At 40.0% G+C, this 12123-nt stretch overlaps 1 protein-coding gene across 12 annotated transcripts in view; it reads left to right on the top strand.

Annotated features, from left to right (window-relative positions):
- FLACC1 (flagellum associated containing coiled-coil domains 1) overlaps nt 1-12123 on the top strand; it is a 76019-nt gene that overhangs the window by 16577 nt on the left and 47319 nt on the right. For 9 of the 12 annotated variants that reach the window (XM_024452696.2, XM_047443393.1, NM_001289993.2 and 6 more), the window contains 3 exons: nt 1038-1171; nt 3450-3543; nt 5282-5343. In XM_024452696.2, coding sequence (XP_024308464.1) covers nt 1038-1171; nt 3450-3543; nt 5282-5343 — 290 coding nt within the window. Of the gene's footprint in view, nt 1-1037; nt 1172-3449; nt 3544-5281; nt 5344-12123 lie in introns of those variants that run through there. The other 3 variants (XM_011510610.4, NR_110620.2, XM_011510612.4) reach the window with 3 other exon arrangements.

Below are 12123 nucleotides of genomic sequence, written 5' to 3'. Positions count from 1 at the left end.
TTTGGTGGGATGTAATCGGTACATTTTACTGTTTTCTGTGTTTATCTAGTTTCTTTTCTTTCTTTTTTTTGTTTTGTTTTTTAGTTTTAGGTCTTTGTATGAATCTTTGTATTCCATTAATTTTTTTGGAAAATATTTATTGACCACCTATTATTTATTAGGCACTGTTTCAGGTGCTGGGAAAAGAGCCAGGGAAAAGAGCCATGCAGTCCTTTAATGGTTAGGGAAAAAAATATACAAGCAAAAATATAATTGCCCTCTAGGTAGAGAGGAGGATGAACTGTGGGGGGAGCAAGACTGAAGGCAGAGAGGCCAGAGCCCAAGAGAAAGATGATGGTGGCCTGGGGCCGTCAGGCAGGGGTGTGGAGAGAGGAGGGTGACTCACAGAGACATGAAGGAGGTGACAACAGCAGGGATCAAGGGGCTGCAGCATGTGCTGCGCAGCTCTCAGAGCCCCAGCCTTGCCCTGGTCCAGGCCAGCAGAGGCCCTGCCCAGGTTTCTGACTTGGCGTCTAATGGGAAAAGGAGGAGGAAATGACATTTTGTTTGCAACCGTCCTAGTCATTTTCTCATATGTTGTTTTGTTTTTCCCTCACAAAAGCCCTTTGAGAAAGAGTTATTAACCCCACTTTCTGATAAGGAAACTGAGGCACAGAGATGCTGGATGGCTACTGTCTGGTGGCAGAGCCAAGATTTACTCAGGCCTCTGTGATTCCAAAACCCGAGCAGTTGCCGCATGCCCACCTCCTCTGGGCTCTGGCCACGAGGGTGAACACAAGTCGGGGGCAGGGGCATCAGTGGCTTGGTTTGGCGCAGAGCTTGAGAGGCCCCTAGGGACACCCAGGAGCCTGCTAAGCATCAGATTTGAGTCGGAGAGATGTGAGAATGAGCTATAATGGGTGAAGGGCCCAGAAGGGCTTGGGCTGTGGAGTCCCAGGTCCCTGTTTTTAAGATGTGAGTGAGGCAATAAGAGAAGATTTGGAAAAATCTCAGCACTCCAAGTCTGCCATTTTATCTTACTTTCCCTTGATGCCTAGGAAGTGATCAACGTGTCACCTGGCTATCAACTTGTTCGGAATCGGGAACAGATTTCTGTCACCTTAGGGGATGAGATGTTTGATAGGAAAAAGCGGTGGGAATCGGAGATCCCGGACAAAGGCAGATTTTCCAGGTAATGCTGTTGCAGCAACATGCAGCTGCTTGGGGCTACTCCCACCCAGCTCAGCCCGGCCTCAGGGACAAGCCAAAGCCGCTATGCCCACACCCAGGCCACTGGTCCCTGCTCTGGAGGGGCCGCAAGGGCACCTCCCTCCTCGCCCCTGCTTCCTGATGATGCATCTCTCCACATCTGCCTCTCTGCTCTGATCCCATCCGTGAGCAGATCCAAGGGGCAGGATGAAGATTGGGAGTTATGTGATTGATCCCAAAGGATAGCAATTGTTCGTGGGGTGAGGAATAGATAGAATAGCCATAAATTAGTCTGAATTTGAGGCATGCAAATTAAGTAAAGTGAGGGTTTCTGGGTGGCTGGAGTGCACTTTTTTTTTTGAGACAGAGTCTCTCTCTGCCACCCAGGCTGGAGTTTAGTGGCACGATCTCAGCTCACTGCAACTTCTGCCTCCCAGGTTTAAGCTATTCTCACGCCTCAACCTCTTGAGTAGCTAGGATTACAGGCTTGCACCATGACGCCCGGCTAATATTTATAGCTTTAGTAGAGATGGGATTTTGCCATATTAGCCAGGCTGTTCTCAAACTCCTGACCTCAGGTAATCCTCTGGCCTCAGCCTCCCAAAGTGCTGGGATTATAGGCGTGAGCCACTGCGCCCAGCCTCTTTTTCATTATGTCCAAAAATACTACTCAGCTCATGCCCCCGGGAGATGCAGTGTGGAAGGTTCTGGCCTGACTCTAACCCATTAGCACAGCTGTCCTGTCTGTCTTCAGGCTCCACCCACTCTCTGTCCTCCAATGCCATATCAAGTATATCTCCATGTCTTTCTTTTTTCATTAACAGATGCAGATTCATCTCTACATCTTTTCATTCTACCCTTTAATCTCTTATTCATATCTTCTTCTCTGATATCCTGCCCATGTTCAGGCATCTTACTTCTTAACTGCACTACTGAATGGCTCTCCAAGTGCCTCTTCCCTCAGGCTGATTTTGCTGTAAGAATTATTTTTTCAACACACAAGTCTAAAAGACCAACAATAGAAAACACACACACACATACACACACACACACACACACACACACACACACACAATCATCTACCTATCTGCTAGTGTATTGGCAGAATTCAACCAAACCGTTAGCAGTGGTTACATCTGGGGAAGGGATTCAGGTTGAGGGTGAGTCTGAAGGCCCCTCAAGTAGAATGAGGCCATGCCATGGAGTCTCCCTGATCTGACCTGGCCCAGAGGGCCACCCAGGGGCCAGGGGCATTCACCCTGCTTATCTTGTCTTCCCACCCAGGGGCATTCAGCCTCTGCTTTCTTTTCCCTGCTTATCCACAGCCCTCTGCAGGAAGAGAATGGGTCATGCACCTATAGTCAAGCTAGCACCGACAGCCACCTCTTGGCCTCACAAGGAAGTTGTCACCAGTTGTGCACAATAAAATATGATAACCTGTGCTTGTTGTATTCCCTGGTAAAGTTGTGGGTGTTGTTTGTATTGAAGATTGTGTTCAAAAGATAGGGGCTCCCTATTATTCAACTTTCTCAAGCCTTTTCTTTCTCTTACCCTTGAACTGTCTCCTCCTGTATCTCCTCTCTTGTTTTATCAGCCCACATTCTCTCTGTGCTCAGTTAGACATGCAAAGTGGTTGGCCAAAGAGGTCAAAGCATCTTGCATTGAGGACTTCCTCTCAGCTCCACTGCACATGGCACCACCTGCTGCCTTGTCACTCTAGCCCAACCAGACAGAGCTAAATAATTTACAGATACCATGGCAGCCTTAGACCCAGAAACACAGAAAACCATGACCTGTGCTGAAAGCCACTCTCTTAAATACCCTCTTAGTCCCATCTCTGGCCCAATCCTTGTCTGTGGTTCACAGCCAGCATCAATCCTATTGCACATCTTCTAATTTCCTAATCCTCTGAACTTCGTCCTCTGTTTCAACTATCATTACCAAATCAAGGTCAAACTCTAATAAATTTCTGACATATTCTTATTTTCCTTCTATTCGGTAGGGCACCAAACCATCCTGTTCAAGTCTAGTGAGCTTACCCACAAGAGCCAGATCTGAGCCTCAACTGCCCTATAGCCAAATGCCTTCTGTAAGACCACCCCTATCCCTCCACCCCCACCCCATAATGATAGAGCAGGTGCAGAACATGGCCAGCTCTCACCAGGCCAGCTCTCACCATGCCAGAGTCAGTCATGCTCAGGGGCCTGAATGGCATGGAATGGTAAGCTTTGTGGATGATAGAAGAATTACTTCTCCTACAGGACCAACATCATTTCTGACCTAGAAGAGCAAATCTCAGAGCTGACAGCAATAATTGAACAAATGAACAGAGACCACCAGTCTGCCCAGAAATTGGTGAGTGACCTTACATTAGCTAACATCTTCATGGACAAAATAAAATTAATATTTTTGAATCACCTATGTGCCAGGCAAAATGCCAAGCACTTTACTCATATGAGCCATGTTGTCCAGGTGACAGGACCCTAAAGATTGGACTGTGTCACTCAGTAGTATTTCTCTGACATCTTTATCTGTAATTCCAAGAACTCAAGTTCTTCCACAAAGCTTAACTCATTTATTTCCAGGAGCTCTCCAAGTACCTCTGTGTGTGTGCAGTGACACTGTCCTCCTCACACTAGGGTGCACTTGTTGTTTTCTGTCTGGCCTTTGTGGTGCAATTAAGTTTCAGAGCTTGTGAGGCTCTCACTAACGACACCAGCGCACTTAATGTGCAGGGCTTACTCTCTGACTGTTAAAGCTGCCCACACATCAGAATCTGCAGATGTCATTTGACACTCTTTGTGATTCCTGAGGATTTCAGTGACACCTTTTTAGCTTTTACCATCTGTTTCATCTGGTGACTTCTTCCTCACCTCAAACAGGTGTGCCTGTTGGCCTGGCCTGGAGTGACAGCCAGTGCTGTGTTCAGAAATATCCTCCCCAGGGTTGTTGAACCCCACCCCATCTGTGAAGTTTTACTTCCCAGAAGGCAGCCTCTCACCCTCTGATATGCCCCAGATGTGTCTGAATCCTACAGTGACCCAGCTTATGACTCAGGCTGGGTCCTATCCTGAGACCACCCTCCTCCGCCTGCCAACTATTGATTCATTACCTTATTTATCTGAAAACACTGCCAGGTTTATGGTCTCCTTCTATAGAAAGGAAAATGAGACTCAGGGAAGTTAAACAATTTGCATACAATCTCTCAACTGAACAGTGGTAGATCATTGGACAAAATGAACATTTTAAGTCATAGGCACAGATCCTGCTGAAGACATATTTAGAGACTATTTCCATGAAGGGATCCTAGACTGTGTTACTGAAAATACTGCCACTTGTGAAGATGCTATTTGTTGTGTGGCCCTGTGGAAGGGAGTAGTGTTGGCTGACGCTGGGCTGTTCTCTGTCTGTCAGAGTGGCTCTGCTGACCACTTGTTGTGTGACACAGTCCCTGGCTTCTCCCCAGTAGTCAGAGAGGTACAAGGACAAGCCCTAAACCCTTGTCCTAGCTGACAGTGGTCACCGACTGATTTGAAGTATTGATTTATCCTGAGACACTGGCCAGAGGATCTGACATGTTAGAATGAAGTATCACCTGAAAGTGAGCAAATCCTGCCTGCTAGAATGGAACTATACTGTCAACAAGGATTAACACTAGATTTTAAGTTCCTCGAAGGCAAGATCTGAGTCTTAGTCCTCCTTGGCTCTTCCAAGCCAAGCCTTTTGTTCAATAAATGATTGCTCAATTGGATTACATATCCAAAAATCTGAAGGCCATGATGTAACAGAAATGACGATCTAGCACAGGAGACCAGACCTACCCAAAAAAAATAGTCAGTGAAAGAGATGCACCAACATTATGAACTGAATAAGTACAAAACAACATAGAGCAAGGCACAAATTGTTCTGTTCCCTTATTAATAATGTGCTCTCTGGCACTGCAGAGCACAGTGGAAGAGGGGTGGGAAGGGGGCTGTGCCCCATGAATTGGAAGGCGGCTGTGCCCCATAAATTGGAAGGCTTTTCAGAAGGTGCAGATCAGAATGGGACAGGGTCCTCAGTCCTGTGTTGTAGATGCTGATTTTGTTTCCAGCTCTCCAGTGAAATGGATCTCCGCTGTGCTGAGATGAAACAGAACTTTGAAAACAAGAACAGGTACACTTTCTGGCATGGACCCTTGTGTGTGTTGATGGCTCTAAGGGTCCCGCATCCTTTGCAGGATTTTAGTTCACTGGGACTTCAAATAGTTCTAAATGGAGTTGGGGGATGAAGGGTGGGGGAGATGAACAAGACACGTGTCTTTGAAGAGCAGAATGGCTTGATTCAAAGCCACTAAAATAAACCACAAAGAAAGTTATTACTGCTTTTACATTTTATCATCCAATCCTTTCATTTCAATTATAATCTCCCTTTTTGTTGGTTACTGAGAAGAGTCATTTTTGTTCTCTATGAGATTTCTGTGATAAATAACTGTTGTTCTCAGCCAAGGCTCCTCCTCCACCATCTCCTCGTTCTTCTCTTCCTCCTCCTCTTTTTCTTTGTCTCACCTCTACTCTCCCTGGCTGCTAGGTCAGGGCCTCAGCAAAATAGGAAGAAAGTATAAGAGAATCAGGAGCAAAGTCAAATCAAGAGAAAATTGAAAGGAGTCCAAATACAGAAAGACAGAGAATAGAACATGGTTACCATGGTCCGGTAGGAGGAAGAAAATGGGGAGATATTGATCAAATCATACAATGTTGCAAATATGTAGGGTGAACAAGTTTATATTGTTTACAAAGATATAATGTAAAAAATGAGAGCTATAGTTAATAATAATGTATGATATTAAGAACTGTTGCTAAATGAGTTTATAGCTGTTCTCACCACAGAGGGAAAATGGTTAACTAAGTGAAATGATGGATATGTTAATTTGTTCCACTCTAGTAAACTTTTTACTATATGTATATAGTAATCTCCACTATTATAACCATTTGTGTATATATATATATACATACATATAAACTCTACCTATATATATATGCTTGTGTAGTGTGAGTGTATATATATAGTAAAAATTATGTGTAATATATATAGTATAATGGTTACTATAGTAGAGATGCATATATATATGATTTATATATATATATATATATGAATCTTATGACATCATGTTGTATACCTCAAATATACACAATAAAATTTATTTTTAAAGGAGTTTTCTTATGTGTATGGGTGAAGATAATCCTACATCCCCTTTCAGGCTACTTGCTGCACACCAGAGCAGCCTTAGAAATCCTGGTGGAGAGATAGCACTCTTAGTTGAGTCATAGCCATTTACACATTTATTTATCTATAGACTTTATCTGTTAGAGCAGTTTTAGGTTTACAGCAAAAATGAGGAGAAAGTACAGAGAGTTCCTGTGCACCTGCTCCTAATCAAATTCAATCAAATTAAACTCAAAGATGAGTACACCAAGACACATAATAATCAAACTATCAAAAATCAAAGACAAAGCAAAAATTCTGAGAGCATCAGAAGGTAAGAAACACGTCACATACAAAGGAGTGCCAATACAATTGTAATTTCTTAACAGAAACCCTGCAGGCCAGGAGTCAGTGTGATGATGTATTAAAAGTGCTGAAGGAAAAAACTGCCTACCAAGAATACCTTAGCAAAGCTGTCTTCCCCAGTTGAGGGAGAAATAGAAACTTTCCCAAACAAAAATTAAGGGAGTTCATTACCACTATGCCTGCCTTACAGAAATTGCAAAAGGAAGTTTTAAAAACGGAAACAGAAAGCTGCTAATAACATGAAACATATGAATGCACAACACTCAATGGTATAAGCAAAATAGAGCCATACTCAGAATACTTTAGGACTGTGATGATGGGATGTAAGACAATTTTATCCCAATATGAGAGTAAAAACACAAAACTATTAATAACAACTATAGCTAAAATAAATTTTCAATGATAAATCATATTATAAAATGATATCAATTCTGACATCAAAAACAAAATGTTAGGGAGGGAGTAAAACTGTTGAGTTATTGCTTGCAACTAAACTTGTTGTCAGCTTGAAATAGCTTATTACAAGAACAAGATATTCTAACTAAGTGTCATGGTAACCACAAAGATAAAAATCTTTAGCAGTAGCACAACACAAAAATAGAAATGATTCAAAGCATACACTACAAAAAACATCAAACCACAAAAGAAGAGACCAAGAGAGGAAGAAAGAATCTACAAAACAACAAAACAAAAATTAACAAAATGGCAGTAGTAAGTTCTTACCTATTAATAATTACCTTGAATGTAAATGGATTAAATTCTCTGATTAAAAAAAATAGAATGCGTGAATGGATTTTTTAAAAACAAGAACCAACTATACGCTGCCTACAAGAGACTCATGTCACCTGTAAGGCACATGAGCACTCCTCCCAGGGTCTGAGATTAAGCCCACTCAACCTGCCGCTACCACCATTGCTGGCACCTATCTGCATGCACCACCTATGGGCCTGAGGACAAGACCACCCAACTTCTCATAGCCATTGCCAATACCAGTGAGTACCACTTGGGTGCTAGAGGGTTGTCCCACTATTGCTACTGCCATCAGCCACAACACACCCACTGCCAATGGGTCCGTGAACCTACCTACCTGCCCAGCCCATAGCTGCCATTCCTGACACCTGAAAAAAACACTAAAAGGCCCAAGAATTGGCCTGCCTGAACCCACTAATACTTAATGCCAGCATATGCCACCCTGGGGCCCAAAGATAGGCACACTTATAAGATTAGAATAAAACTAGAAATCAATAACAAGAAAAACTTTGGAAACTATACAAACGCATGGAAATTAAACAGCATTCTCCTGAATGACCAATAGAACAATGAAGAAATTAAGATGGAAATAAAAAAAATTTCTTGAAACAAAAAAAAATTGAAATACAATATACCAAAGCCTGTGGGATACAGCAAAAGCAGTGCTAAGAGGGAAGTTTATAGCAATAAACACCTACATCAAAAAAGTAGAAAGATTTCAAATAAACAATCTAATAATGCACCTGAAGGAATTGGAAAACCAAGCCCAAAATTAGTAGAAGAAAAGAAGTAATAAAAATCAGACCAGAACTAAACGAAATAGAAACTAAAAAAACAATACAAAGGGTCAGCAAAAAAACAGATTCTTCAAAAAAATAAACCAAATTGATAAACCAGTAGCTAGACTAACCAAAAAAAGACAAGAGAAGACCCAAATAAAATCAGAAATGAAAAAAGAGACATTACAACTGTTGCCACAGAAATACAAGAAATCATCAGAGACTATTATGAACAACTATAACTAACACTAACAAACTAAAAAATCTAGCAAAAATAGATAAATTCCTGAAAAGATAAAATCTAACAAGATGAATCAGGAAGAAATTGAAAATTATTCAAGACCAATAATGAGTAGCAAGGTTGAATCAGTAATAAAAAGTCTCCCAACAAAGAAAAGCCCAGGACCAAATGGATTCACTATCAAATTCTACCAAACATATAAAGGAGAACTAATAGTAATCCTCCTTAAACTATTCAAAAAAATTTGAAGAGGAGGAAATTCTCCCTTACTTATTCTGTGAGGCCAGCATTACCTTAATACCAAAGTCAGATGACAATACAACAACAGGAAAAAGAAAACCACGGATCAATATCTCTGATGAACACAGATGCAAAAATCTTCAATGAAATACTAGCAAACCAAATCCAACAATACATCAAAAATATAATACACCATGACCGAGTGGGACTTATATCAGAAATGCAAGGATGGTTCAGCTTATGAAAATCAATAAACATGATATATAACATCAACAGAATGAAGGACAAAAATCATGTGATCATCCCAATAGATGCAGAAAAAGCATTTCATAATAGTCAACATTGCTTCATGATTAAAAAATAAAACCTTTCAACAAGCTAGATATAGAAGAAACATACCTCAACATAACAAAGGCTGTATATGACAGATCTGCAGCTATCATCATACTGAACAGGGAAAAGTTGAAAACTTTTCCTCTAAGAATTGGAACAAGATAAGGATGGCTACTTTTACCGCTCCTATTCAATATAGTACTGGAAGTCCTAGCCAGAGCAATCCCGCAAAAGAAAAAAATAAAAGGCATCCAAATTGGAAAAGAGGAAGCCAAATGATCTCTCTTTGCCGAAAAACATAATCTTATATATGAAAATCACAAAAAAACTCCATCCAAAAACTCTTAGAACTAATAAATTCAGTAAAGTTGCAGAATATAAAATCAACATACAAATATCAGTTGCATTTCTGTACACCAACAGTGAAATAGCCAAAAGAGAAATCAATAAGGCAATAACATTTACACTGGCTACAAAGCATAAAATAAAATATCTAGGAATAAATTTAACCAAAAAGGTGAAAGACCTTTAGAAGGAAAACTGCAAAACACAGATGTAATAAATTGAAGAGGACACAAACAAATGGAAAGACATTTCACCCATGCTTATGGACTGGAAGAATTAAGATCGCCAAAATGGCCATGCTGCCCAATGCAATCCCTAAATTACCAATGTCACTTTTCACAGAAATAGAAAAAATAATTCTAAAGTTCATATGGAACAAAAGATGAGCCAGAATAGCCAAAGCAATCCTGTGGGGAAAAAAAATCTGGAGTTATCACATTACCTGACTTCAAAATATATTACAAGACCAGGCATGGTGACTCACACCTGTAATCCCAGCACTTTGGGAGGCCAAGGCGAGAGGATGGCTTGTGTCCAGGAGTTTCAGACTAGCCTGCACAACATAGCGAGACACCGTCTACACAAAAGATTAAAAATTAGCCAGGTATTATGGAGTGTGCCTGGAGTCCTAGCTACTTGGGAGGCTGAGGTGGGAGGATCACTTGAGCCCAGATGGTCAAGGCTGCAGTGAGCTATGATCATGCTACTGCACTCCAACTGCACTCCTTGATATAGATCAAGGCTATCATAACCAAAATGGCAAGGTATTAGTATAAAAATAGACATATAAACATAAAGCATGGAACAGAATAGAGAATCCAGAAATAAATTCATGTAATTACAGCCAACTGATCTTTGACAATGCTGTCAAGAACATACACTGGGAACAGGGCACCCTCTTCAATAAATGATGCTGGGAAAACTGAATAACCATATGCAGAAGGGTGAAACTAGACCCCTATCTCTCATCATGTACAAAAATGAACTCAAGATGGATTAAAGTCTTAAATGTAAGATCCAAAGCTATAAAAATACTAGAAGAAAACCTAGGGAAAAGTCTTCAGGACATCGGTCTAGGCAAAGATTTTATGACCAAGACTTTGAAAGCACAGGCAACAAAAACAAAAAAAGACAAATGAGACTATATTAAACTAAAAAGCTTCTACACGCAAAAGAAACCATCAACAGAGTGAAGAGACATTCTCTTAAATGGGAGAAAATATTTGCAAACTACTCATTTGACAGAGGACTCAAACAATTCAACAGTAAAACAAACACAAATTCATTAAAAATGGGTAAAGGACATCTTTCTTAAAAGACATTTCTTAAAAGAAGACATTTCTTAAAAGAAGACATACGAATAGCCAACAAGTATGTGTTCAACATCACTAATCATCAGGGAAATATAGAGCAAAAACACAATAAGATATCATCTTACACCAGTTAGAATGGCTATTATAAAAAGACAAAAAATAACATATATTGACAAAGATGTGGAGAAAAGGGAACTCTTATATACTGTTGGTGGAAATGTAAATTAGTACAGCCATTATGGAAAACACTACAGAGATTTCTCAAAAAATTAAAAATATGAACCAGCAATTCAACTACTGGATATTTCTTCAAAGGATGTGGAGAATAGGAAATGCTATACACTATTGGTGGGGATGTTAATTAGTTCAGCCACTGTGGAAAGCAGTTTGGAGATTTCTCAAAGAACTTGAGACAGAACTACCATTTGACCCAGCAATCCCATTATTGGGTGTATTGTACTCAAAGGAATGTAAATCATTCTACCAAAAAGACACATGCATACGTTTGTTCATCACATCACTATTCACAATAACAAAGATATGGATCAACTTAGATGCCCATCAGTGGTGGACTGGATAAAGAAAATGTGGTATATATACACCATACAATACTACACAGCCATAAAAAAGAACAAAATCATGTCCTTTGCAGCAACATGGATGCAGCTGAAGGCCATTATCCTAAGTGAATTAACACAGGAACAGAAAACCAAATACTGCATATTTTCACTTATAAGTGGGAGCTAAACATTGTGTACACATAGATACAAAGAAGAGAGCAATAGACGGTGGGGCCTACTTGAAGGTGGAGGTTGGGAGGAGAGTGAGGGTTCAAGAACAACCTATCAGGTACTATGCTCACTACCTGAGCAATGAAATCATTTGTACACCAAACCCCAGTGATGTACAATTTACCTATGCAACAAATATATACATGTACATGTACCCCTAAACCTAAAATAAAAACGGAAAAAGAAAAAAATTAGTAGTATTTCTATATACTATCTAAAAAAGAAATTAAGAAGACAATTCTATTTATGACAGCTTAAAAAATAAGATAGCTAGGAATAAATTTAACCAAGGAAGTGGAAGATTTCTACACTGAAAATTATGGAGCATCGGTAAAAGAAATTGAAGAAGCAGCAAATAAATGGAAAGATATTCCATGTTCATGGATTGGAAGAATTAATATTGTTTAAATGATCATGCTACCCAAAGCATTACACAGATTTAATGCAATCCCTATTAAAATACCAAAAATGTTCTTCACAAAAATAGAACAAATAATCTTAAAATTCATATGGACCCACAAAGTCCCCAAATAGCCAAAATGATCCTGAGCAAAAATAACAAAGCTAAAGGCACGTGATTTTAAATGATACTA

Source organism: Homo sapiens, chromosome 2, assembly GCF_000001405.40.
Source record: "Homo sapiens chromosome 2, GRCh38.p14 Primary Assembly".
NCBI lineage: Eukaryota > Metazoa > Chordata > Mammalia > Primates > Hominidae > Homo > Homo sapiens.
The sequence above is the reverse complement of the archived record's forward strand: the minus strand, read 5'-3'. Positions and strand labels throughout refer to the sequence as shown.